The sequence below is a fragment of the Homo sapiens genome, chromosome 4, assembly GCF_000001405.40.
Source record: "Homo sapiens chromosome 4, GRCh38.p14 Primary Assembly".
NCBI classification, from domain to species: Eukaryota; Metazoa; Chordata; class Mammalia; order Primates; family Hominidae; genus Homo; species Homo sapiens.
This window is the reverse complement of record NC_000004.12, coordinates 112,492,784-112,520,237: the sequence shown is the minus strand read 5'-3', so window position 1 is coordinate 112,520,237 and position 27,454 is coordinate 112,492,784. Positions and strand designations below refer to the sequence as shown.

The 27,454-nt window shown below is 43.5% G+C and overlaps 1 protein-coding gene and 2 long non-coding RNA genes across 3 annotated transcripts in view, besides 8 other annotated features; 1 reads left to right on the top strand and 2 right to left on the bottom strand.

Moving 5' to 3' along the window:
* NEUROG2-AS1 (NEUROG2 and ZGRF1 antisense RNA 1) overlaps positions 1-4,859 on the bottom strand; it is a 31,507-nt gene extending 26,648 nt beyond the window's left edge. Inside the window, exon 1 of the long non-coding RNA NR_161159.1 lies at positions 4,598-4,859. This is a non-coding gene — a long non-coding RNA (NEUROG2 and ZGRF1 antisense RNA 1). The remainder of the gene's footprint in view (positions 1-4,597) is intronic.
* LOC124900760 (uncharacterized) lies at positions 281-3,433 on the bottom strand. The gene is made up of 2 exons (XR_007058231.1): positions 3,199-3,433; positions 281-2,430 (listed from the first exon to the last, which is right to left on the bottom strand). It is a non-coding gene; the product is annotated as an uncharacterized LOC124900760 (long non-coding RNA).
* Positions 2,407-3,287: an enhancer, noted in NCBI's record as "H3K27ac-H3K4me1 hESC enhancer chr4:113438107-113438987 (GRCh37/hg19 assembly coordinates)". NCBI's record gives its function as "activates a minimal SCP1, AML or CMV promoter by ChIP-STARR-seq in naive and primed H9 embryonic stem cells {active_cell/tissue: H9 hESC(naive and primed)}" and the evidence as "EXISTENCE:reporter gene assay evidence [ECO:0000049][PMID:30033119]".
* Positions 2,837-2,956: an enhancer, noted in NCBI's record as "active region_21830". NCBI's record gives its function as "activates an Ori minimal core promoter by ATAC-STARR-seq in GM12878 lymphoblastoid cells {active_cell/tissue: GM12878}" and the evidence as "EXISTENCE:reporter gene assay evidence [ECO:0000049][PMID:35858748]".
* Positions 3,057-3,156: an enhancer, noted in NCBI's record as "active region_21829". NCBI's record gives its function as "activates an Ori minimal core promoter by ATAC-STARR-seq in GM12878 lymphoblastoid cells {active_cell/tissue: GM12878}" and the evidence as "EXISTENCE:reporter gene assay evidence [ECO:0000049][PMID:35858748]".
* Positions 3,297-3,576: a silencer, noted in NCBI's record as "silent region_15640". NCBI's record gives its function as "represses an Ori minimal core promoter by ATAC-STARR-seq in GM12878 lymphoblastoid cells {active_cell/tissue: GM12878}" and the evidence as "EXISTENCE:reporter gene assay evidence [ECO:0000049][PMID:35858748]".
* NEUROG2 (neurogenin 2) lies at positions 4,058-6,722 on the top strand. The gene is made up of 2 exons (NM_024019.4): positions 4,058-4,391; positions 4,762-6,722. The coding sequence occupies exon 2, from the start codon at positions 4,763-4,765 to the stop codon at positions 5,579-5,581; it is 819 nt and encodes a 272-aa protein (NP_076924.1). The 5' UTR covers positions 4,058-4,391; position 4,762; the 3' UTR covers positions 5,582-6,722.
* Positions 4,897-4,966: a silencer, noted in NCBI's record as "silent region_15639". NCBI's record gives its function as "represses an Ori minimal core promoter by ATAC-STARR-seq in GM12878 lymphoblastoid cells {active_cell/tissue: GM12878}" and the evidence as "EXISTENCE:reporter gene assay evidence [ECO:0000049][PMID:35858748]".
* Positions 5,227-5,426: a silencer, noted in NCBI's record as "silent region_15638". NCBI's record gives its function as "represses an Ori minimal core promoter by ATAC-STARR-seq in GM12878 lymphoblastoid cells {active_cell/tissue: GM12878}" and the evidence as "EXISTENCE:reporter gene assay evidence [ECO:0000049][PMID:35858748]".
* Positions 5,987-6,126: an enhancer, noted in NCBI's record as "active region_21828". NCBI's record gives its function as "activates an Ori minimal core promoter by ATAC-STARR-seq in GM12878 lymphoblastoid cells {active_cell/tissue: GM12878}" and the evidence as "EXISTENCE:reporter gene assay evidence [ECO:0000049][PMID:35858748]".
* Positions 10,576-11,240: an enhancer, noted in NCBI's record as "H3K4me1 hESC enhancer chr4:113430154-113430818 (GRCh37/hg19 assembly coordinates)". NCBI's record gives its function as "activates a minimal SCP1, AML or CMV promoter by ChIP-STARR-seq in primed H9 embryonic stem cells {active_cell/tissue: H9 hESC(primed)}" and the evidence as "EXISTENCE:reporter gene assay evidence [ECO:0000049][PMID:30033119]".

Below are 27,454 nucleotides of genomic sequence, written 5' to 3'. Positions count from 1 at the left end.
TTGTCTCTCACTACACGCACTCAGCTCCCTTTCTTTCTGAGGCTTGGGGATGAGTTTAAATCATTGTGCTCCCATTTCTTGAAAACTGTCTGCTTTGAGCTTTTGTTCTCTTAAAGTAGGATTCCGCACTGAAAGAAGGGCTGAAGATGAACAGTTTGACCCCTTAGGACAGTTCATGCAATGGACAGGAGCGGCCCTCGGTCACCATCCTGGCTGATGCTATTCACTCACTCCCCTCCCCCTTCACAGAACATTTCAGCCTCGTTTCATCTGGACAATCTTTTAGACCACACAAGTGCCTCTTGAATTTATTTAAGTTAAAAGAGTGCTAGAAGAGTACAGCTAAGGATATTTGGCATTAGTTATGCCTTCGCAAAGCTGAGTACAAATCGAAATTGCTTTCTTTTTCCTGCAAAACTAAGCAAAATGCTGAACAAATACAATTCTGTTATCTAGGCAACTGTGAGTATGAACAGTTGGTCTTTGGATTGTATGAGGTTGTCCTTGGGTGTTTCTTTTCTTTTTAAAAATGATATTTTTCACAGTGAGAAATATTTTCAGAAATGCTCTGTGATCAAGTGTAAGTCAGCTCTTGAAGGCTACAGTACAAACACACAACCAAAATTTTTAAGAGTTCCAGGGTATATAGAGAGCGTCTTTTTTTTTTTTTAACAGATGTACTTTTAAAAATTGTTTTATACTTTTTTTTACATTTTAAGTTCTGGGATATACGTGTGCAGAATGTGCAGGTTTGTTTCAACATGTGCTGTGGCGGTTTGCTGCACCTATCAACCCATAATCTAGATTTTAAGTCCCTGCATGCATTAGGTATTGGTCCTAATGCTCTCCCTCCCCTTGTCCCCCAGCCCTCTTCCCCCCACCCCCGCAGGCCCCAGTATGTGATGTTCCCCTCCCTGTGTCCACGTGTTCTCATTTACAGATGTACTTTTTATAGTAATCGGACATACATCACTGCATATGCCCAAAGAAGCCCTCATTAAAAAAAATAAAATTCTATAAACCCGATGATGGCTTTACGTTTAGTGATTAGAAATTGATTTATAGCAATGTTTGAATATGTACATAATCCTAAGTTTCTTGACATTGTTGGAATAGTTTTTCCTTTTGCAGGAAACTTCCAGAATAGGAAGTGTGTAGTTTACCTTAATACAATTTTACCATTACTAAGCATCTGTGTAGGATATACTTAAATATGCATTATTAACTTATCACTCACAGACAGTATAGAAGGTTTGGATTTTGTCACAGGAAAACATGTGCCCTTTCAGTGAGTCATAAAAACATAAAATCCTGGGAGAATAAAAAAACTGGAGAGTCAGATGTCCAAATACTGTTAACAATCAACTAAAGAAATCCATTGTGTGTTTCACTGGCACTAAGCATCAAACCCAGCTTGATCTCATTGTTATTTGGGGTTATATGAGGCTCACCAAGTTTCCCTTTAAGTCTCTACTTCTACTTAACTGGATTCCAATTCTGTTCTTCCCCCAAATATATTTTATCATTAAATCAACCCAGCACTTCCTAGCTAAACCAAAAGTTTAAAGCAACGTGTCCAAAGACAGGTATCTCCACTGACACTAAAATAAATTTTCCTTTGTTTTCATTACATTAATCTATTTTGGCTTGTATTTCTTTGCAGGCAACTCCTGTGAAGCGATATAGATATCTAAAGACTGAAAAACCAAGGTTCCTCCTATCATTCAGGTATTTGTTTTTAAAAGTCTTGATCATTTCCTCAGAACCTAGCTTTCTTGTCCTTATATTTTATTCAAATTTACAAACAAATTCTGTGTCTGCTCCCACATGTTCCTTCAGTCCCTACTGGACTGGACACATCCACATCCTTGGCAGGTTTTCTTTTAGGAGGACTATGAGAAGAGTGTTTTCTTTTAGGGGGACTATGAGAAGAGTATTTTCTTGTTTCGTATCAGTGATAATTGCCCATAAATTAACGCTCATGTGTACAGCAACAAAGGTAAGCACTTCTAGCATAATTTTTGCTTGGTCAGACTTTTTATGAGGTTCTGATTCTGCAGGTTCATGATAGACAGAAACCCAAAGATATGTGAGAGGCAGGTGTTGTGTGCTAGAAACATTGAAAGTGTCTCTCTTTTCTTCTTTCATTTTCATTTCTGCACTTCTAACACATGAAATTTAGCTGTTCTAAAATAGTCGAGGAGGAAACTGGCAAATGATGCTTTTATATTTTGGGAATTTGCTTTAAAAAGGGAGAATATGAAAACACAAACATCAAAGAGCAAAGTGGAAATCATGATAGTTTTCAAGTAATTCCAAGACAGAAGGAAGTCTGAAGTTTGAAGAACTGCAATGGGTAATGCTCCTTTTCACAAGTTTCTAATTTTCATTTTCTTTACTTTGTGCCTTCCAATCCTCCTTGTTACCTCCCTGAAGAAAACATTAAACAAATTAAAGCCATGCCAAAATACTAACAGCTAATTTAACCACCCCGTCTTTGGAATACAGCTTGTTTCTAAGTCCTACAAACTGAGGGAGACAGAAACCAGAAGACAGCATTCTCTTTCCCTTCTACTCTTCCACTCCTAACACTCCAACTGTGCCTTGCCTAAAGTTAATTTGCAAAGGGGATCTCAAGGGACGCCACTCCGGTCTACTGAAGTCCGGATCCATCCCCATGTCGACAAGAGGGTGGGCATGAACGTGGGGAAAGTGGGGAGGGCTAACGAGCAATTGAGAACAAGTTTCCCCCGAGGTCCAGTAGCCCTTCAGCTCTTTTTTCTCATTGAAAAGCAGAATTGGGAAGATGGGCCCCTTGTCCCTACAACGCCCCCCAGCGCGGAGCAGAGGTCACAGAAATGTCAGCGCAGCGCATTTGCTTGCAGGAGCAGCAGCTCTGCCGCTCCTCCCGCTCGGTTCGCTGCCACCCACGCAGGAAGCCTCCTTGCTGTCCCTCCAGGCTATAAACTGGGTTAACCCCAGCAAAACCTGCATCAGTGCCCGGAGCCTCAGTTTCCTGTATGTAAAATGAGGGGGATCCTTTCAGCTCTAACATGTGAGTGATTTCATTCTCACATCCTCTAAAAGCTCATCAACTGCTCCCCTATCCGACCTCCCCTCCCAAGAGACGCCTGTTTGAATCCCCAGTGTCCTCTCCCTTCACTCTCCCACGCCAGTTTCGACGGACCCCAAACACACTTGTTCACGAGGTGTCCACATCTCTCCATCCACGCCATTCTCCTCCCCTAACCAAATGAATCCATTTTAAAATCGTTTACTATTTGATACAACCCCTAAGAGGCTTTGCCAAGAGACGCCCGGCAGCACCACAGGGCTAACTGCTTTCCCCGGGATTCTGACCCCCATTAACTAATTCCTAGTTCCCATCACCCGGGAGTTAGGAGGGCCGGCAGCGCCGGGTGCGGTGCCTGCGCGCGCGCCGGGCGGGGGGAGCCTCGGCGGCAGCGAGGACGAAGGCGGGGGCGGTAGCACGGGTCCCCCCATCCGCCCCCAGCGCTCGGGCCCCTAATGAGCTGCTGAAAGGGAGCGGGCTCCGGTGCGCGTGGCTCGCAGGCCTCCCGGAGTCCAGGGCGCCCTGATTGGCCAGCTGCGCCTCGCGACCTCCATTCATTAATAAATTAGCGGCACGCTCCAGCCGAGCGCGAGCCACCAATCACAATGGACAGCGGCGGCGACAACAGCCGCAGCTTGAGCCTCTGCGGCCGCTGCGGCTTCGCCAGCTCCGGCCGCAGCCCGGAGCTCCAACAGGAGCTTTAGAACCATTTTATGTTGATTAGATAAAGGGGGAAAAGAGAGGCGGGGGTGGTGGGAGGAGGAGGATGGATGGCAGGGCCAAGGGAGGGGGAAAGGCGGTGAAGAAAGAGGAAGAAATGAATGATGATAATGCAATGAAAAGAATAAGCCAGAGGAGGGAAAAGCGGGGGAGAAGGGGGGCAGGACTGACAGGAGGAGGAGGCGGTGGCGGGGGAGGAGGGGGCCCGGGGCAGATCTGATTGTTTTCTTGGTGGTATATAAGGGGTTTTAAGGAGAGTCGTGTGCCAGACACGCAGCCACTGAACCACAAGCAGCTTCGCGTTAACTGGAGTGCCTGGGAGTCGCGTGCCAGGAGCCGCACGGCCAGGGACTGACTGACAGACAGACACGCACCACCACCACAACACACGAGACCCGGGCGGGCCGCCGCCGCCGCCGCCGGGGCTCTTGGCAAACTCGCCGGTCGCAGAGGTCCCCCGCGGAGCTGCGCCACAGTAGCGCCGGGCTTGCAGCTTTCACGCCGGGCGAAGGACCCGGCGCTGCGCTCGCAGCTGCGCGGAGATTCCCGGCACAGGCCAAAGTCACAGCAACGCTGAGGCACAGTTAGAGCCAACTAAGTAAGTATTCGAGCCACCGCTTCCAACTACGCAGGTGGTTTCCCCGCACTCAGTCCAACCACACCCGCACGCCCTCTGCTCCGCGCAGAATCTTTGTCGCGGAGGCCGCAGTCCCTTCTCGGGGAGGGAACGCAGGACCGCCCGCGGAGGGCAGGACCCGGCTGACTGGCAGCAGGGTCACAGCGAGCGCTAGCGGCGCTCCTGACCTTGGTTAGCACTGCCTGGGTTTCTTCCTTCGCCTTCCTGCTCCGCGCCATTCGGAGCTGGTCTTCTCGGGTGCGCGCCGGAGCACGCCCCTGTGACACGAAGATCGCGCCTCTGTTTCTTTCCTTACACCTCACTGCCTTTTTCCCCTTTCTCTCTTCGGTAGGATGTTCGTCAAATCCGAGACCTTGGAGTTGAAGGAGGAAGAGGACGTGTTAGTGCTGCTCGGATCGGCCTCCCCCGCCTTGGCGGCCCTGACCCCGCTGTCATCCAGCGCCGACGAAGAAGAGGAGGAGGAGCCGGGCGCGTCAGGCGGGGCGCGTCGGCAGCGCGGGGCTGAGGCCGGGCAGGGGGCGCGGGGCGGCGTGGCTGCGGGTGCGGAGGGCTGCCGGCCCGCACGGCTGCTGGGTCTGGTACACGATTGCAAACGGCGCCCTTCCCGGGCGCGGGCCGTCTCCCGAGGCGCCAAGACGGCCGAGACGGTGCAGCGCATCAAGAAGACCCGTAGACTGAAGGCCAACAACCGCGAGCGAAACCGCATGCACAACCTCAACGCGGCACTGGACGCGCTGCGCGAGGTGCTCCCCACGTTCCCCGAGGACGCCAAGCTCACCAAGATCGAGACCCTGCGCTTCGCCCACAACTACATCTGGGCACTCACCGAGACCCTGCGCCTGGCGGATCACTGCGGGGGCGGCGGCGGGGGCCTGCCGGGGGCGCTCTTCTCCGAGGCAGTGTTGCTGAGCCCGGGAGGAGCCAGCGCCGCCCTGAGCAGCAGCGGAGACAGCCCCTCGCCCGCCTCCACGTGGAGTTGCACCAACAGCCCCGCGCCGTCCTCCTCCGTGTCCTCCAATTCCACCTCCCCCTACAGCTGCACTTTATCGCCCGCCAGCCCGGCCGGGTCAGACATGGACTATTGGCAGCCCCCACCTCCCGACAAGCACCGCTATGCACCTCACCTCCCCATAGCCAGGGATTGTATCTAGAGCTGCCATTTCTGCTACCCACGCCAGGCCTTAGTGGGTTCCCTTTCCTGTCCCCAGTCGAGCCCTCCTCCCTTCCCCTGCCCCTCCTTTCCACGCCCTGGAAACCATCTCACTTCACAGGGCAGGTGTAGCCTTTCTGATTCCTCGGTTGTTTCTTGCATTTCTTGGCTTTGGGTATCCTTCATTCAGACGGGCTCTGATTTACTGAAGGTGTGATGGAGCTTATTGTCAAAGCCAAGGGTGGCGTTTTGGGGGCGCTTCTTGAGACGAAAAAGACCCTGGGAAGAGATGATGGTGGCATATCTAAAGAGTTTGCAGAGCGGACTGACGCTCCTCCCCTTTCTCTTTAACGCCGAAGGACTTGGTGCAGTTCGTGTGAATCTCACAGGGGGAATGCAACTGGTTCCTGTGATCTCTTCACCTTTGCTTCTACATAGAGATGTTAATGTCGAGTAGAAAGAAATGTATCTTAGCATCTGAATGATTTTGCTGGTAATAATATTATCCACAGATTTGCAATGGCTGGCATCTGCTTTATTCCCATTGCTGTCTGCAGGCTGTGGGAATTTCACCTGTCAAACCAAACTTCCCTCTCTGATGTGCACTTTGTTCTGTTTCCCAGATTCGTCACAATGCCTATTGTCCTGTCCTTCTCTTTCCTTTTTCTTCCCCATTTTGCCATCTGTCTCTTATGATTTATAAGGGGAAAAAAACTTGTTTTGTTAGAGGGGCAGGTTAGAAGTCATTGTATAATTTGTAGGCTTTGTAATGATTGAATGCAAGCGTGGAAATTTAGGCTGAACTCTCTATCAAAAGGAAAAATGTGGAGGAAAAGGGAAAAATCAGGAGGGAGGATTGCCTCATGTATTATTTATTTCGACCTTTTAGGGGAGAAGGAACTCCCCCATTCTTTCAAGAGATTAAAAATAAATCAACAGTCTGAAAACCTAAGCAGACACGGAGCATTATCCGGATCAGCCACACACGTGTTCCCTTCTATTTATTATAAAGAAATTTTTCATGGGAAAATATGTATTTTTTGTATATTCTACAGAGTTTATTCTAGTATGTATTTACATCTTGAAGAACAAGAAAGTTGTTCTTGTGATTAAACTATAAATAAACTATCTAATTTTCATAAGTTTGTGTGTTGTATTCTACCTTTTTCTTGCTTATGTGATTTTTAGATGCCAAATGAGTTGTGTTTTTTTGAAATTCTTCCCATGTCAAATTGAATATAGTACTTGTATTTTTGGGCAATGCTTTGTGTAGAATATCACTAAGAAATCACAAAAAGCTGAATCATATTTGAGACACTAATATTGAAAATAAGAGTGTAACTTTCTATTTTTAAGATAAACACACAATTTATTTCTAAGAAATAAATTTCTGAGCAAACAAGATAAGCAAAAAAGGGGAGAAGAATTTAAATGATAATTAAGTCATGATAAGCTCCAAAGTTCAGAAAACCTTGATTTGAAAAAAAGTGAAGTTGAAATTTCTTGGTGGAGTGTGTAGAAATTTGTTTTTTGTGCAACTCGTTTGGCTTCAATTCTCATCTGTAAACTGAAGGGATTGGACATGACCTCCAAGGGTGCTCCCTTTCCAGCTCTAACATCTGTGATGTAACAGTACGTATAAATTCATTATTAGAAGCAGATTTCCTATTAGGCATTTTAACAAGCTAGTTGCTTTTAAAAGCAGACTCCCAGAATAAAGCAGATATTTAGAGTGAACTGGAATTGAAAATATATACAGAAATAGCTCCGCTTTCCCAATATTTGTTAAAGCAATTACATAGTCAAAACTTCTTCAAAGAGAAAGCAAAAATGGTTTAACTTGCACCTCAATCTCCAAAGCAGAAATGAATGACCTTTGATTGGCTTTGGGTCAAAAATGACCAAATGAAGGTTGACCACATTCTATGCTTAATCCCCTTGGGGAAGAGTGTCTATGACAACACAAGCTAAAAAATATCACATTAAAACTTGGTCGTTCACAGCACCCACCTCCCCACGAATGTCTTACCTGCATCTGGTTTGGGCTAAATACTCCACTCTTCTGCACAATGCAATAATAATTTCTCCTGAGGTGTCTATCTGAAACCACTCCTCTCTAATAACTCCATTTTAATCAAAGGAAGAACTAACTCAGGGTTTTTGTTTCATTTTTTATAGCCAAGCATGAGATACCTTTTGGTAAATCCCTTTTAATTTAAAGATTGTGTTACTCTTAGCTGCTCTTTGATTATCTGACATGGGGAGAAAGTGATATTTCTCTTATATTCACATTTATGTTTCTAATGTTTAAAAAGCCAAGCCAGCAAGCAAAGGAATTGTAATATGATAGTTTGAAAACATCAGTTTTGGTGCTGAACAATGCTTCTTCTGGTGATACATTTGATGATACATGGTGCTTCTTTTGGAAACTTGCCAAAGAAATAGTTCATGACAAAATCTCAGATGCAGCTACTCCTCCAACTATGGGAAACCTTCTCAATTGGTGAAGCCATCCCATAAAAAGATGACCCTAATGGCTAAGGTGGAGAGGCAGGGATGGATAGATGATTCAATAATCCTAGCTCTGAGCAAGACTAATACAGCTAATACAGACTTCACTCTTGACCTAGCGGACTCTACACACTTCTTCCAGGTCCAGAGTCTTGTTCAAGTTCTCAAAGCTGGAGCTTGCAGGTCCCCATTACACACAAGCAGATATATCCTAAGTGCCCGGGCTTTCATCTGCCATTTGCAATTCACACTCAGGCTTTCCCTTCCCCATCTAGAACACACCTTATTTTACACTAAATTGGCGCAATTATTTTTTATGGCATCTAATCATCTTAAGCGGGTAAGAATGGTGTTCTGACTGCCTCAGCGCCGAGATTCTCTCCCCTAATCCGTTGCAACCTTCACAGCCGGTGGCCTGAGGCCCAGTCGTTCTCTTCCCTTCCTAGTAGGAATGAGTACAATTAGAGGGTCAAAGCCGCTGCTTCTGCAGTAGGCAACAAGGTAGTATTTCCATTTTATTCATTTCCCTCCCGACATTGTGACCGCGCTGTGATGAGCTGCATCTGTGTGCACCAAGTAGGTTTGCAGGCCTCGGAGCCACGCCATTTTATTTCTGGTGGCTCTGGTGAGAGACACTTCAAACAACGCTGTGGAGATTTTCTTCCGGTGACAGACACAGACTCTCAGTGTTGCTAGATCTTTCCAACGCCAGCTAGCGCGCTGCGGCGCGTTTTCCTAAGTGCGGAGAGGCGCGAAGGTGGGTCCTGTTCTCATTGGAGCGTCGCTTTAGCGCGGCCGGCGTTCCGGGACTGGCTGTATTTATTTGTTCTAAAGTGCTCAGGCCTTGTTACGGCTCATTTTTCCTTCACTAGATTTTAAATACATCCATCTGAGTGCCAAGAAGGAGGAAAAAAAAAGTAGAGAGGCGGACTGCCAACCGCTGGGCCCGCCACGGGAGCCGGACCTAGGCTCAGCCGGAGGCAGGAGGAGGGGCTGAGGCTTCCCGGGCCCGCAGCACCTGGACCAGAGCCGGATGGGCGCTCCTGGTGTCCCAGCTGAGGCGAAGGCCCTGGGCGGCTTTGGCCAGGAGGGAGGAAGGACCCATTCGGCACTTCCCAAAGCCTAGTCCGATGGCCCAGGAAGGGCGTTTAGACCCAAGGCCGGCTTCAGCTGCCCACCCGCCAGTCTGGGTCACAGGCTGCTAAAGGGCCGGGCTTGAGGGCGAGGCTGGGAGCTGCGGCGCCCCCACCCGCTGGGTACACCCCCCTGCATTGCACACCCTTGAGCTGGTTGTGACTTCTGGGCACCGACACCTGGAACCGGTTAAAAGCGCCTCCTCCTCACCGCCAGCCTCGGTCTTCCCCGAGCCCCCTCGGGCTCCCAAGCGAGCTTTGAATGTATTAATTAAATAAAGCGGGCAGCTCTTGAATCGCGCCAATGCAGTGCGCTCCCGGGAGCGTGAAAGTCCCGGCCTCCGAATCTGCAAAAGAAATGTGTGAAAAGAGAATTAGTGAAATTAGGTTAGACCAATAAAACGTGAGGGCTCCAATACCCCCCTTTCTCGCTCCCCCAGCCTGGGGCTAGAAGGGCTATCTGGTCTGATCTATTGTTTCCTGCCCTGGCAGGGGGTTCATTGTGTGATAAATAATTCCCCCTCCATTTTCTTTTATTCTTAAAAAAAATGGGTATTTGCATAATCAGTGCTTTGATGTGGCCAGAAATCGGAGGTTTGGTCTCCCCAAGTCTGCTATTGGTAGCGAAGCAACAAAGCTAGATCCAGATCTTTCACTTCGCTGACAGTGTGTGGGGCAGATTGTCAGAAATAGCAGCGTTAAGCTGCTGCCTTCTTTTTTAAGGACCACTTTAATGATTAAACTTAAGGAATGTCCAAAAAAGGAGGGATGAAAGACCAGCTTTCTCATCACTCCACGGACACACCCCGCCCCCCGCCCCCCCCCCCATGCTTCTTATTATTCTCTGCAGTTTCTTTTCCAAAGCGCTTGGTTTGGGGGATGGTGCATCTCCCTTGGGGCCGCCCCACGTGGCACCGAGTGGGCATCGGCAGGGGTCCCCTAGGGCCAAGGAGGGGCCAGGTCTGCAGGAGCGGTTCTCCTTGCCCCCAACGCGTTTTTCCTTCCCCAGTTTGATTTTTCCAGCCGGGATGGGGTTCATCTTATGGAGGACGTTGAAGTGAGTCGCTCTTTAGTCCCCGAGTGGAATGAGTGGGGGTTGGGGGGTTCCCTGGGAACGCAGCTTGGAGGCAGTTTCAGATGGTCCCCGACAGGAGAGGCGAGCAAAGAAATTCAGTCATCCGGAAAGCAGAACGCGAAAGCCAGTGTGGCCGGACCTATTATTTCCCTGCAAGGTGGCGTGAGTCGGGAGGATGGAATGGGGAAGAATCCTGATGGTGTGTGCGTTACAACAAACGACTTTTTTCCCCCTCTCGGTGCCAGGGTCGGGGGAGGGGAGACAGGGGTGGTTCTGTCTGCTTTCGCTAGCATTCTCTGCTTCTCCAGCTGCTCAGAGCGCGAAGGGGGAAATGCCAACTTGGATTACTGACTGAGAACACCGCGTGAAAGGCCAGGCCTCCCTGATTACCCGGGCAGGCGCCGGCTTCGCGCTCCAGCCTGGAGAGGTGTCAACCGCGTGAGAGATGCTCGGCCTCCCGGGATCCAAATTGGAGATGGAATCAGAGATGGAAGGGGGAAAGGAGGAGGATCCTTGAAACACCTGCACGCCCACGGTCCCACTCCTTCTCCTCCTCGGCCCCGCATCTCACCGAACTGACCCCAGGCCATTCTTCAGATGTCCCAGCAGCTTTTGGATCGCAGAGCTTCAGCGGTAGTTAGCTCATCGTGAATTCTCTTTTTACTTGGTTATCTTTGCTTTTACTTTTCAAGGCTGTAACTATATAAGCATTCGGTTTTCTGCATATTCACTTTCTTACAAAACAAAAGTTACATATTTCTTAGGAAATAAAAGAACCCAGGATCCACAGTTCCTCCCAATGGAAACATATTTTTAAGGCTCGACTTTGGGGGCAGCTGTTTAGATTCGTGTTACCTGGCAGACTCTACTTACTGCACATGGAAGTCCAGCCGTGCAAGAAATCAAGAGGCAACATGTTAAAGTTATTTCCAAAGGACACATCTCCTAGAGTAGCCTGTTTGGACTGCAGCTGGCTTTTTAAATATTCAATACGGAGTGTATATCTTCTCTGATAGATCTTGTCGAATTGTACAGCAGGTTGTGTCACCAATGTTTATCTCCATTTCTTTCTATTGATTCCATTATCACCTTCTCTTTGTTTCCATCTGCACTCAAATCGTCGATTCCACTTACAGTCCTTTTTGCTCCATAACTAAAGGCATACGTGGAGACGTTAAACAATGGAGCAAAGAACCAAAACCTTTCACCTATCTTATTTGATGTAGAAAGGATTAAATAAAGGTGCTGAAGTCCACGTAAAATGGAAACAGGAAGCCTTAAAATATGGAGAGAGCTGGGGGCTGGTTTCCATGGCAGCAGCTTGCAATAAAGCCTAATGCCAAGTGACAAAGAGGTCATCTTCGTTTTCAAACGTGTTTATGATCCCTTTGTGTATTGTATGTTGGCATAAAAGCTTCTCCGCAGGGTCAGGGCTCCGCGGGCAGCTCTATGACTCTCAAGGGGGTTTATTGCCTCCTTGGCATAAGAATAGCCAAAAGAAGCCAAACTAGTGCCAGTGTGACAAAAGAGTAACCCCACAGGCTTGCCATTGCTTTCTTTCCATTTCTTTTTTTTTTTTGCAGTACATAAATCTTGCTATGCATTGAAGTAATCAAACACGAAGGATTCTGAGATAAGTTTAGTTTAATCTTGTTTTTTTTTTCAAACTTTTACATCTACTGAAACATCATATATAAACCAATACAAGAAGGTGGATTCAATATGAGGAAGGTTGATTCAATATGATTTATTTATTTTTGCCTTACTTTCCAGATAATCTTGGGAAAGAACTCAAGTGAGATAAAACGTTGAACATACCTGTGAAACTAAAGGAAAGACTAGCTGTAAATTTCAGATAATCATTGTATTAATACTTTTTTTCATATCACAGTGCATAGACTGTGATCAAAAAGGTGTTTTTAAAAATCAAACCTATCTAGACCAGATGTGGTGGCTAACGTCTGTAATCCCAGAACTTTGGGAGGCTGAAGCGGGAGGATCACTTGAGGCTGGGAGTTCGAGACCAGCTTGGCCAACATGTTGAAACCCCTCTCTACTAAAAATACAAAAATTAGCCAGGCTGGTGGCGACACCTGTAATCCCAGCTACTCAGGAGGCTGAGGCAGGAGAATTGCTTAAACCCTGGAGGCAGAGGTTGCAGTGAGACGAGATCGCACCACTGGACTCCAGCCTGGGCGACAGAGTGAGACCCTATCTCAAAATAAATAAATAAGGGCCGGGCGCAGAGGCTCACGCCTGTAATCCCAGCACTTTGGGAGGCCGAGGCAAGCGGATCATCTGAGGTCAGGAGTTCAAGACCAGCCTGGCCAACATGGTGAAACCCGGTCTCTAACAAAAAAATACAAAAATTAGCCAGGCGTGGTGGCCCGCACCTGTAATCCCAGCTACTCAGGAGGCTGAGGCAGAAGAATCACTTGAATCCGGGAAGCTGAGGTTGCAGTGAGCTGAAATCGCACCACTGCACTCCAGCCTGGGCAACAAGAGTGAAAACTCCATCTCAAAAAAAAAAAAAAAAAAAAAAAAAGTTAAAAAAAATCCTATCTAAGTTAATATTTCCCCTAACCCTCAAAATTACCATGGCAACAGCTTGGAAGCAGACGAGAAAAAAACATAATTTTGCTGGAAAAACAGTAAAGAACTCAGAAGTCCTGAGTTCACATCCAGTGTTTCTCTTGAATTAGGAGATGATTTTGGACTATATCTCTGTGTGACATTGGGCATGTGCACGGGCAAACACGTCCAGTAGAGTTTTTCATGGTATCTGCAATAGAAACTCCTTGCTGTAATTTTCAGTAGATGTAGGAGACTCCATCTGACATTTTCAATTATTATTCTGTCAGCAAACAATTTTTAAGGGGGTTCAGTTCTCCTTGAGTAGCCGGCATCTCAGGTTTTTCTGTTCTACACTGGGGAGAGTTTTCTAAATGTCTGAGAGTTTTCAGAACCATTTTGTTTTGAACTATAGGAGGTGAAGCTGAACTGATGAAGGCACTGGCCAGTTGTACCCTCCTCACCTCCACATTACTCTGTATCTTGCCTACACTTTCATAACACATGCATGGTGTGGTAATTACCATAATACCTTACAAAGCAGATTGGAGAAAATATTTGTGGTGCCAATGACTGGATATAGTTCTCCCGGTAACCAGGTAATTGCTGCCTCTGCTTATTTCTTTTTTTCTTTTTTATCTTTTTTTTGAGACAGGATGTCACTCTGTCACCCAGGTTAGAGGGTAGTGGCACAATCCTGGGTCACTGTAGCCTCCGTCTCCTGGGCTCAAGCGATTCTTCCATGTTAGCCTCCTGAGTAGCTGGGACTTCAGGCATACACCGCCACGCCTAGCTAATCTTTTAAAAATTTTTCATAGAGATGAGGCCTCCCCTATGTTTCCCAGTGGGCTCAAGCAACCCTCCCACTTCAGCTTCCCAAAGTGCTGGGATTATAGGCATGGCTACTGCTCCAGCCCACTTCTTTTTTTCTTTGAGATGGAGTCGCCAAGGCTGGAGTGCAGTGACACGATCTTGGTTCACTGCAGTCTCCGCTTCCCAGGTTCAAGGGATTCTTATGCCTCACCTTTCCATGTATGTGGGATTACAGGCACATGCCACCACACCTGGCTAATTTTTGTATTTCTGGTAGATGGGGTTTCACCATGTTAGCCAAGGCTGGTCTCAAACTCCTGGCCTCAAGTGATTCGCCCGCCTCAGCCTCCCAAAGTGCTGGGATTACAGGCATGAGCTGTGGTGCCCGGCCTCCTTCTTGAACTTTCTAAGGAAAAAAGTCAAAGGTTCAATTTTCTTCAATACCTTTTTTCCCCCTACCCCAGCAAAGTGAGTGAAACTCTCCCCAAGGGCATTTTGATTCTAATGTTACCATATTTTTGGTAAGGGACTAGAAAGAGAGTATTCATAAATATTGAGCTTCTCCACCCTTTTGTACTCATGACACACTTTCAAATTCTAGAAATTTTGTTAGCAAATTGGAAAGGATTACAAGTCTCAAGGCAACATTAAACAAGGCAACAATGATTACACCATGCAGTGTCTCACTGGCATCTCACAGAATCTAGTAACATTCATAGCCATCGGATTATTCACTTCGTTGTCCTTTTGCACTATATTACTGTTTAAGTAGAATTATTTCTTTTCCTACAGTGCTCTCCCCTACACAAGAGGCAATATTTTCACAAGTTCCAGGAAACACAATTTCTTTTGCACTATTTTTAGACTCTTATTTAAAGCTTGAAGAGGTCTGGTGTGGTGGCTCATACCTGTAATCCCAGTACTTTGGGAGGCTGAGGTGGGAGGATTGCTTGAGGAGTTTGAGACCAGCCTGGGCAATTTAGGGAGACCTCGTCTCTCTAAAAAAATTAAAAATTAGCCAGCATGGTGGTGTATGCCTGTAGTCCCAACTCTTCAGGTGGTTGAGGTGGCAGGATTGCTTGAGCTCAGGAAGTCAAGGCTGCAGTGAACTGTAATCTCACCACTGCACTCCAGCCTGGGTGACAGAGTGAGAACATTTCTCAAAATAAAAATAAATAAATAAATAAACAAAATGAAAGAAAGCTTGCTATTTCCTTTCATTCCATGATATTCAGTTAATTGTGTTTCACCTGACAAAACACTACTGCTGGATATTGTGGAGGATGTTCCTAGTCTTTGCCATATCTGATTCTCTAATCCTTCTGGGCATGCTCAGACCATTTATAACGGAGCGAGCCTCCATCTCTTGTCTCTATCTTCCTCTTGCCTTAAGATAGTAAGGCCAAAATATCAACGCTAGTTGGGCTCCTGAGTGACCACATAAAGAACAGTGGTCCTTATGAGTCGCCTAAACTCACAGTGGATGTTGTATGAGAGAGAAAAACTTGTGAGCTGAGCCACTTAGATTTGGTGGTTGGTTGTTATTGCATCATAATTTCGCCTACCCTGATTAATATGGTTGTGTATTTATTCAGGGAGTATATAACTTATTTGTAGCAACAAAATTAAAAAAAAGTCTTATACATTGACTAAAACTTGATAGCCCAACTTTGAAGAATTTGAAGATTCTGTTATTTTAAAAGTCATTTTTATTTTTATTTTGGGCCATGTAAGAATGTTTTAATGCCTTAAAATCTTCAGCTGTTCCAAAAGTGATTTTAAAAAACCATCTTAACCATTTTAAGTGTACAGCTTAGTAGCGTAAAGTATATTCATATTGCTGTGCAACAAATCTTCAGAACTTTTTCATCCTGCAAAACTGAAATTCTATACTCATTAAACAACAACTCTCATTTCTTCTTCCCTCCAGCTCCTCGCAAATACTGTTCATATTTATTTTTAAAGCATATAGGACCCCTGCCCTCATTTTTCTCTATCTCAGTTTAATTAACTTTAATTTGAATTGTCCACACTATTATTATAGAAGTAAGCATGTATAAAGTTCTATCACTCACAACAACTAGTTCTTCTGCTACCTTTCGGGAAATAATTAACAAAATGGAGCTGTACTCTCCTTTGCATAGTGTTATTGACTGATGCAAAATTGCGATCAATTTTGTAAGAGAGCACCCATTATCTGGGTACCTACTCCTCCTGAATGAAGCCATCTTGACAGAGTAGATGGTTTGACAGAGTCCTGAAGGTAAATATGTTTTTTGCCCCATCTTTTTCCAGAATGGGCCAGAGGTAGTTCAACGGGTCTGGAGGCCAGTTTGAAGAGTAGATTGATTCCTGAGCCCATGGATAAAATTCACTGTGATGTACAATTTGATCCTGTTGTACCCAGGCTTAAAAGGACAATGTGATTAAACTACACATTAAATTGAAGTACTATAATTAGCTTACAAACTTAGAGTATGTGATGGGGTTTTTTCATTTTGAAGAAGCCAGAGCATTGGACTAAGTGATTAGAGTCCTTTCTGTTACTGAGTGGCTATATAACTATGAGTAGGTCTCTTAGCCTGGTATAGTAGGCCTAAGGTTAGAACAACTGTTTATGGTTATACCAAGTATTTCCAAACGCTATTCTAGCTTCACTTTTCAATGTCTTTTTAAAAATAAAGTACACTAGGTTTGCTTTTAGAAACACTTTTAGTTAAAATCTAACAGATTTATCTTGATATATTTTTAGAAAGATTTTGCTTTTCAGAGAGTCCATATTAATTTTCAAAAATACTTGGAGAAACCACATTTTAACTTGCTTTTTATAACTATGCCTTTAAAAATGAAAACTGGAAGCTTGAAGGAGGCAACTGAAAAGACCCTCAAGCTAGGCTAATATTTAGCACTGACATCTAAGACCTGCCATGTGCCTTGGATTCAATTTTGTTTTTCATTCAGCACTTGTACTGAACACAGGTCAATCATTTTAGGTGGGGAGGAGAAGTAAATTTTTGAAAATGGTTTCTTTCTTTTAAGCTGCTTCCAAGCAGGGGATGACAATTTCTTTTGTTCAGAGAGTTGTATTCCTTCAACTGCCTCATTTCTCCCTGATCTTTAAAGGTGTCTCTTGATTTGGACATCATGGACCTATAAACACATCACACAATAATTTAAAATTGTTCTTCTTGGGGGGAAAACAGATTAAGTCTCAGCTCCCCATGAATAGCTCTGCTCTCTTTTTTAATAAAGAAGAGTTAGACTGGACCAGTGTCGATGACATATTTACCTTCATGAGCTAAAAAAAAAAAAAAAAAAAGAAAGTTAATTACTGCTCGGAGCAAGAGCAAGTTAGTCCGGCTGTCCTGAGCTGTCTTTTATTAGTTGTCCCCTTCATTAATTTCCCTCACTGGATTTGCTGCTAATAGCTGCCTGGCTCCCCCTCAGCTCAAAGCCGCATCTGTGCCATTGAGCAGGAAAGTAGGAGCCTGGCCAAAGGGGGGTTGTGATGGAGTGAGGGAGACGCTATTTACAAATCAGCTCTTATTAACATGATGGTCTGGTGCGCTGAAGAGGGAGATGGTGGCCTCAGAGCAGAGAGCTGTAGAGCAGAGAAGAGGTAGTGAGATCTGAAGGAACCAGCACCAAGCATGGTGGTTTGGATTTGTACTTCTCTCCTATGAACTAGTGTTCCCTTAGCGCCAACTTAGAATAACATTTTCCCCCCCCCAAGGACTGGATATGTACTACTCTGTCACTGAACTTCATGAAAAGTTCCAAAAGTATCGATCTTTAGCAACGAGGTTTAATTTTCCCCATACGATGCAAAGACTCTGAGAGATCCAAGTCAATAAATGATCTTTTTTCTTTTATAAGCTTATAGTTTATTTTTAGATATTAATTCAGTTAGAGACCATGTTGTGAATATATATATAATTTTTAAATCCTTGTTCCATTTATGATATACATTAATTTGATGCTCAGCTATCTTTATTTTTCTCACACTTACCACCAAGAAGCATACTATCTTACTAATTTATTTTATTTACATTATCTTCCCTCATTAGAATGTAAACTCCAGGAGGACAGGTGTGTGTGTCGTGTGTGTACCTGCTCACCCTTTGTTCAATGTTGCTATCTCCAGCATCTGTAACATGCCTCTGAGCCAGATTGAAAGGGCAGGTAACTCTCTCTTCTTTGGTAGCAACATTAAACAATAACCTCATGTAAGTTTTCTTTCTTGAATCCCTTTTTCAGGAAAAACCCACATAAGTTCTGAACAAAGATTAGCCAAAGGAATTTTGCAAGCATTATGTTCCATTTGTTGCTATGTTGTGATTTTTTTTTTCTCTCTCTAAGGAAGATCAACAGCGGTCATGGTGAGATTTACTTGAGAATTTCTACAATGTATCATTTAATCTTTTTATGAATAGAGGGAAAAAGTTATTAATATATTTTGAGTATTAAGGGGACTTTAAGCCTATGAAGAGTAATTTGACTAAGATAATAAGACTAAGATAATAATAAGTATATTTAATAAGTATAAAATAAATAATAAGTGTAAGATAATATTAAGATAATAACTAACATAATAATAAGATAAGACTAAGAGTCTCCCAGGATAAGGTCACCACTTATTCAAAACATCTGGTGTGCATAGGGCTCCTGACTAGATGATGGTTTGAGAGTAAAAGAGGTACATCTGTTGGAACAAAGGTACTTTTGCTGGGACAACTGATAGGGGGAGAGCAAGAATTCCTTCCAGGTGAACAAAGTTCTGTCTCCCAAAAAAGTCATTGTCTAACCTCTTATCTAAATGATACTGATGGTTAATGGCTTGATAATCAAAAAGCCTACCTTAAGAGAAAGAGCATAACATTAACAATGAAAGGGTCAGGTTTGAGTTGTGGCTCCCTCTGTGTAATTCTGAATAAGTTCCTTAGTCTGTCTGCGCTCTTAGTTCTACAGCTGTAAGCTCTGTCTTCGATCACAGAATATGTAGACAGTTTCCAGTTTTTCTCTAACATAAACAGCATTGTAGCTAAACTTTGCATTTACATTTATTTTCTTACAATGAAAGAGTGCTCAGAAATAACAAATCATGTGTCTTTTTATGGACATAAAAATATGTTCCCAATATATCGTTAGGTTGAAAACAGCAGATTAGGTCAGGCATGATGGCTCATGCCTGTAATCCCAACACTCTGGGAGGCCAAGGCAGGAGGATCTCTTGAGCTCAGGAGTTCAAAACCAGCCTGGACAACATAGTGAGACCTTGGCTTTGCAAGAATTTTTTTTTTTTTTAATTAGCCAGGTGTGGTGACATGTACCTGTATTACCAGCTACTTCAGAAGCTGAGGCAGGAGGATCACTTGAGCCCAGGAGTTTGAGGCTGCAGTGAGCTATGATCATACTACTGTACTCCAGCCTGGCTAATAGAGTGAGACTCTATCTCAAAAAAAAAAAAAAAAAAAAGCAGATTAGAGTAATGTGTGTAAAATTATCAAATAATTATCAAATAATAGCTGTAATAACAGCTAACATTCATTGTGCTTACATGTTAGGACCATTGCTAAGTCATTTACATAGATTATTTTATAAAACTTCATAACAACCCTCTGATGTAGCTACTATTATTATTTCTATTTTACATAAGAAGACATTCAAACTTTAAATATTAATAGTAGTCATCCTGGTGGTTGAATCATGACTATTTTAAAATTTATAATTATTGTTTATTTGATACTTTCTACTTTTCAGCTTTGAACAGATATCACTTGTTATAGTGTGGTGAAATACATGTAACATTTACCATTTTAACCACCTTTAAGTACAATTCAGTGGCATTAAGTAAATTCACAATATTATGCAGTTATCAGCTTGGCTACTTAAAGAACTTGCTCACCATCCTAAACAGAAAGTTTGTTCCCACTAAAGAATTCCCCATTATCCCCAGTCCCCAGCTCTTAGAAACTTCTATCCTATTTTCTGTCTCTATGAATTTGCCTTTTCTAGGTGGCTTATGTAAGTGGAATCATGCAATATTTTCCTTTTGTGTCTGGTCTATTTCACTTAGCATATTTTAAAGATTCATTCAACTTGTAGCATGTGTCAGAATTTCATTCCTTTTAAAGGCTGAATAATATTCTATTGAAAGTCTATGCCACATTTTGCTCATCCATTCACCTGTTGATGTGAATGTATACATATTGCTTTTCTTACAGGAAAACAATATTTTTATTTTTATTTTTTTTGAGATGGAGTCTTGCTCTGTTGCCCAGGCTGGAGTGCAGTAACGTGATCTCGGCTCACTGCAACCTCCACCTTCCAGGTTCAAGTGATTCTCCTGCCTCAGCCTCCCGAGTAGCAGGGACTACAGGCACGTGCCACCATGCCCCGCTAATTTTTTGTACTTTTAGTAGAGACAGGGTTTCACCACGTTAGCCAGGACGGTCTCGATCTCCTGACCTCGTGATCTGCCCACATCGGCGTCCCAAAGTGCTGGGATTACAGGCATGAGCCACTGCGCCCGGCCAGGAAAACAATATTTTTAATTAAATTTAATAAAATTTATTGCCCCCAGGTAAGACTGCTATAAGGTTTAAATGATACAATGTATGTATCCTTGGAAAAGTATAAAATGCTTTTTGAATAGTAGTAATTATTTTCAATAATGGTTTCTCTTAAACTGCTCACTCTTTCAAGTCTTTAAGGAAACACCAAAAAGACCCATTTTCTAGTTCTTTGAAGGTTGGTGGAGTTACTTTGTGGCAGATGGACCACATCACATAATGGCTACTTGCCTCTTTGTTTCTAGGCCCTTCATTTGCATAAATGGTTCAGGTTTTCTCAACAATAGTTTTTGAACTGTCCTCTCATAGAAGAGCTGGTTGGAGAGGCAAACCAAATCCAGTAGCACATTAAAAAGCTTATCCACCACGATCAAGTCGACTTCATCCCTGGGGTGCAAGGCTGGTTCAACATATGCAAATCAATAAACGTAATCCATCACATAAACAGAACCAAAGACAAAAACCACATGATTATCTCAATAGATGCAGAAAAGGCCTCTGATAAAAATTCAACACACCTTCATGCTAAAAACACTCAAGGCCAGGCGCGAAGGCTCATGCCTCTAATCCCAGCACTTTGGGAGGTCAAAGGGGGCAGATCACCTGAGGCCAAGAGTTCGAGACCAGCCTGACCAACATGGAGAAACCCCGTCTCTACTAAAAATACAAAATTAGCTGGGCGTGGTGGTGCATGCCTGTAATCCCAGCTACTCAAAATGCTGAAGCAGGAGAATCGCTTGAACCCAGGAGGTGGAGGTTGCAGTGAGCTGAGATCACACCATTGCACTCCAGCTTGGGCATCAAGAGCGCAACTCCAAAAAAAAAAAAACACTCAATAAACTAGGTATTGATGGAACATATCTCAAAATAATATGAGCTATTTATGACAAACCCACACCAATATCATATTGAATGGGCAAAAGCTGGAAGCATTCCCTTTGAAAACCGGCACAAGACAAGGATGCCCTCTCTCACCACTCCTATTCAACATAGTATTGGAAGTTCTGGCCAGGGCAATCAGGCAAGAGAAAGAAATAAAGGATATTCAGATAGGAAGAGAGGAAGTCAAATTGTCTCTGTTTGCAGATGACATGATTGTATATTTAGAAAACCTCATTGTCTCAGCCCCAAAACTCCTTAAGCTGATAAGCAACTTCAGCAAAGTCTCAGGATACAAAATCAATGTGCAAAAATCACAAGCATTATTATACACCAATAATAGACAAACAGCCAAATCATAAGTGAACTCCCATTCACAATTGCTACTAAGAGAATAAAGTACCTAGGAATACAACTTACAAGGGATGTGAGGGACCTCTTCAAGGAGGACTACAAACACTGGGGAAGGAAATGAGAAGACACAAACAAATGGGAAACATTCCATGCTCATGGTTAGGAAGAATCAATATCGTGAAAGTGGCCATACTGCCCAAAGTAATTTATAGATTCAATGCTATTCCCATTAAGCTACCACTGACTTTCTTCACAGAATTAGAAAAAACTACTTTAAAGTTCATATGGAACCAAAAAGAGGCCGCATTGCCAAGTCATTCCTAAGCCAAAAGAACAAAGCTGGAGGCATCACGCTACCTGACTTCAAACTATACTATCAGGCTACAGTAACCAAAACAGCATGGTACTGGTACCAAAACAGAGATATAGACCAATGGAACAGAACAGAGGCCTCAGAAATAACACCACAAATCTATAACCATCTGATCTTTGACAAACCTGAGAAAAACAAGCAATGGGGAAAGGATTCCCTATTTAATAAATGATGTTGGGAAAACGGGCTAGCTATATGCAGAAAACTGAAACTGGATGCCTTCCTTAAACCTTGTACAAAAATTAACTCAAGATGGATTAAAGACTTAAACATAAGGCCTAAAACCATAAAAACCCTAGGGGTAACCTAGGCAATACCATTCAGGGCATAGGCATGGGCAAAGACTGCATGACTAAAACACCAAAAGCAATGACAGCAAAAGCCAAAATTGACAAATGGGATCTAACTAAAGAGCTTCTGCACAGCAAAAGAAACTATCATCAGAGTGAACAGGCAACCTACAGAATGAGAGAAAATTTTTGTAATCTATCTGTCTCACAAAGGGGTAATATCCAGAATCTATAAGCAACTTAAACAAATTTACAAGAAAAAAACAACCCCATCAAAAAGTGGGTGAAGGATATGAACAGACACTTCTCAAAACAAGACATTTATGAAGCCAACAAACTTATGAAAAAAAGCTCATCATCACTGGTCATTAGAGAAATGCAAATCAAAACCACAATAAGATACTATCTCATGCCAGTTAGAATGGAGATCATTAAAAAGTCAGGAAACAGGCTGGGCGCAGTGGCTCACACCTGTTATCCCAGCACTTTGGGAGGCCCAGGCAGGCAGATTGCCTGAGGTCAAGAGTTTGAGACAAGCCTGACCAACATGGTACAAAAATTAGCTGGGCATGGTGGTGGGCACCTGTAATCCCAGCTACTTGGGAGGCTGAGGCAGGAGAATCACTTGAACCTGGGAAGTGGAGGTTGCAGTGAGCCGAGACCAGGCCATTGCACTCCAGCCTGGGCAACAAGAGAGAAACTCTGTCTCAAAAAAAAAAAGTCAGGAAAGAACAGATGCTGGAGAGGATGTGGAGAAATAGGCACGCTTTTACATGGTTGGTGGGAGTGTAAATTACTTCAACCATTGTGGAAGACAGTGTGGCGATTCCTCAAGGATCTAGAACCAGAAATATCATTTGACCCAGCAACCCATTACTGGATATATACCCAAAGTATTATAAATCATTCTACTACAAAGACACATGCACATGTATGTTTATTGCAGCACTGTTCACAATAGCAAAGACTTGGAACCAACCCAAATGCCCATCAATGATAGACTGAATAAAGAAAATGTGGCACATATACACCACGTAATACTGTGCAGCCATAAAAAAGAATGAGTTCATGTCCTTTGCAGGGACATGGATGAAGCTGGAAACCATCATTCTCAGCAAACTAACACAGGAACGGAAAACCAAACACTGCATGTTCTCACTCATAAGTGGGAGTTGAACAATGAGAACATATGGGCACAGGGAGGTGAACATAACACATTGGGGCCTGTTGTGGGGTGGGGAGCAAGGGGAGGGATAGCATTAGGAGAAATACCTAATTTAGATGACAGGTTGATAGGTGCAGCAAACCACCATGGCACGTGTGTACCTATGTAACAAACCTGCAAGTTCTGCGCATGTATCCCAGAACTCAAAGTATAATAATAATTAAAAAAAAAAAAGAAGAAGAGCTGGTTGGGGCACTGGCCTATGTTATTCTATGCTAATATTACAAATTGATTTTCTTTTGAGGTACCGAGGTGAAAGGATTGCTTGGAGCCAGGAGTTCGACACCAACCTCAGCAGCAAACTGAGTCCCTGTCTCTACAAAAAAATAAAAAAATTTAGTCAGATGTGATGGCATGTGTCTGTACTCCCAGCTACTTAGGAGGCTGAGGTGGGAGGATAGGTTTAGCCCAAAAGTTCGAGGCTGCAGTGAGGTGTGATTATGCCACTGCACTCCAGCCTGGGCAAAAGAGCAAGACCCTGTCTCCAAACAAAATAAATAAATAGGCTGGGTGCAGTGGCTCATGCCTGTAATCCCAGCACTCTGAGAGGCTGAGGTGGGCAGATCACTTGAGGTCAGGAGTTTGAGACCAGCCTGGCCAACATGGCGAAACCCTGTCTCTACTGAAAATAAAAATACAAAAGTTAGCCGGGCGTGGTGGCGTGTGCCTGTAGTCCCAGCCACTTAGGAGGCTGATGGAGGAGAATTGCTTGAGCCTGAGAGGAGGAGGTTGCAGTGAGCTGAGATCATTCCACTGCACTCCAGCCTGGGTGATACAGCGAGACTCTGTCTCAAAAAAAAAAAAAAAAAAAAAAAAGTAAATAAACATTTAAAAATGATTTTCTTTTGTAGAAAGAAATGTTTCCTGTAATTTGTTTCTTAAGACTTAGTAACCACTGACTTTTCTCAAAATTGATAAATCAGTAGCAAACACTATATCAATAGCAATGCTATTAGAATGCTGTAGAGCTATTAGACCCCTAGGAGTTTTAGAAATCATGAAGGATGGAATTTGAATTGAGAAGCAGTTGAAACAATTGGCCGGGCCTGTGGGTTAGGGAGACCCCCGACAGCTGACCTGGATTTTGACTAGATTAAGCAGATGATCATGAGGTCATAAGATGTAAGATAGGTGAGTTGCAACAATATTTGGTTGGAACAATGAGGATATGGCAGAGAGAAGCCTGGCAATGACACTGGACTAAAGCCAGTGAGCTTAGGGCACTAGAGTGTCCGAGATGGCTGCAGGGAAGGCAGGGGGAGGGTGCTAATTGGGGAAAGACGCTGAAGACAGACATTACATTTCTTCTGCTTTACAATTTGTCCATAGATGGATGGCTCAGGTAACCTCGTGGCTTGTATGCTGCTGCAATGAGGCATGCTGTTGAGGTGTTGAGGCAAGGAGAGGATCATATTGAATTTGGAGTCCACAGATAGAAATTTGATACCAAATTTAATTATAGATTTGGGCAGCCATTCTAGCCCCAGTCTTATTTCAAGCTCCAGAAAGTGACTCATTTTCTGTCTCATCAGATTACTTGCTTTTTTTTTTTTCATTTTCTGTCTCATCAGATTACTTGCTTTTTTGGGGGGGCGGGGCGCGGATACTATTTTGTGTCAGGTATTTTGCAAGACAAGGGAGCTATAAGAATAGTCAAACATGATTCTTATCCTCGTATGGAAGAGATTGATCAAGCAAACCAATGATTGCAGAAATGTGAAGTATTATTTTAGAAAAACAACATGCAGGGATAGAGAGGAAAAGCACTTAGCACCTTCTTGACTGAGAGCAGGATATGTTTGGTTAGAGAATATTGTCAAATGAGCAGATGCTTGAGTTTATTCTGAATGTTAGGAAGGATGTGAGCTGAGGGTCCAAGATAATTATATAAAGTTTGGATTTATCACTGAAGAGGTGGCATTTAAGGTACAGGTATGGAAAGTGTAACAACCTATAAAATGCCAATAGTTAAGAAAAAAGGAGAGTAAGAGAAGCTTCAAAGGAAGAAGCCAGAAGAGTAAAAGAAAAACCAGAAGAGAGTTGTCAGAAAGAGAAGGTAAGCCGAGCATGGTCAACAACATCAAATGCTACAAAAGTCAAGTCAAATAAGCATTGAAAATGTTAATTTTGTTTTTCAACCTGGGGCTCACTGAAGAGCCAAGCAAAGGGAGTTTCTGGGGTGCTGGAGGTGAGGGCATATTGCAGTGAGTGGAGGATTGAGTGGAAGGGGAGAGTGAAGACAAGGAGGATAAAGAATTCTTACAAAGAGTATTAAATGAAGCAAAGAAGAGCATAGTGATGGAAATTGAGTGAAAAGCTAACTTTTTCTCTTTTTCATTTGTTTCTAAGATAGTAGTAGCTCGAGTAAATTGACAGAAAAATGGAAGACAATGGTAGAGAGGAAGGAGTTGAAGCTAGAGAAGGAAAAAGTTATACATATTTTTCTTACCAAAATGAAATGCTACTGTACCTACTGTTTTGTAATTTTTTTCAATCACCTTACATTTTAGTAAATTTTAAATTTTGTCTATATTTCAAAATGTCCCTGAAAATTTGTGGCAGAATTTTAAAGAAAATGTTTTTGTTTATCACATGTTTACACTCATTAAATAAAAATGGAACATAGAGAAAATGATAATTATCCACAGTATCACCACTCCAAAAGATTATCTTAGCAATTTTGTATATTCATTTTTTTTCTAGTTTTCACCTACATAAAGACTAGGCTTGCTGTGTGTGTATGTTTTATATAGTTCGAATTATGCTCTGTACACAATTTTGTATTTGGCTTTTTTTTTTTTTTTTTTTTGAGATGGAGTCTCGCTCTGTTGCCCAGGCTGGAGTGCAGTGGCGGGATCTCGGCTCACTGCAAGCTCCGCCTCCCGGGTTCACGCCATTCTCCTGCCTCAGCCTCCCAAGTAGCTGGGACTACAGGCGCCCGCCACTACGCCCGGCTAATTTTTTTGTATTTTTAGTAGAGACGGGGTTTCACCGTTTTTAGCCGGGATGGTCTCGATCTCCTGACCTCGTGATCCGCCCGCCTCGGCCTCCCAAAGTGCTGGGATTACAGGCGTGAGCCACCGCGCCCGGCCTGTATTTGGCTTTTAATAGTTAACATTATTTATAAATATTTTTCATGGTATTGCTTTTTTTTTTAGACAGTCTTCCTATGTTGGCCAGGCTGGTCTTGCACTCCTGGGGTCAAGTGATCCTCCCGCCTCAGCCTCCCAAATAGCTGGAATTACAGGCATGCACCACCATGGCCAGCCATATGTATATGTATATGTATATATGTCAACTTTTATTTTAGAATCAGGTCTTACATGTGCAAGTTTGTTACAAAGTTACGTTATATAATGCTGAGGTTTGAAGTACAAATGAATCTGTCACCCAGGTAGTGAGCACAGTACATAGTAGGTAGTTTTTCCAACCCTTAAAACCCTCTCTCTCCCCAACCTCTTGTATTCCCCAGTGCCCACTGTTCCCACTTTTATGTCCATGAGTACCCAATATTTACCTCCCACTTACAAGTGAGAACATGGGGTATTCAGTTTTCTGTTCCTGCATTCATTCATTTAGGATAATTTTAACTTCCAGCTGCATCCATGTTGCTGTGAAGGACAGGATTTCATTCTTTTTTATGGCTGGGTAGTATTCCATGGTGTATATGTCCTACATTTTCTTTTTCCAGTCCATCACTGACTGGCACTGGGTTGATTCCATGTCTTTGCTATGCTGAATAGCACTGCGATGAATATAAAGGTACTTGTATCTTTTTAGTAGAATGATTTATTTTCCTTGTGTATTAGTCCATTTTCATGCTGCTATAAAGACATACCCAAGACTGGGCAATTTACAAAAGAAAGAGGTTTAATGGACTCACAGTTCTGTGTGGCTAGGAAGGCCTCACAATCATGTCAGAAGACAACAGGCACATCTTACGTGGCAGCAGACAAGAGAAGGGTGAGAGCCAAGTGGACGGGGTTTCCCCTTATAAAACCATCAGATCTCCTGAGACTTATTCACTACCATGAGAACAGTATGGGGGAAACTGCCCCCATGATTCAATTATCTTCCA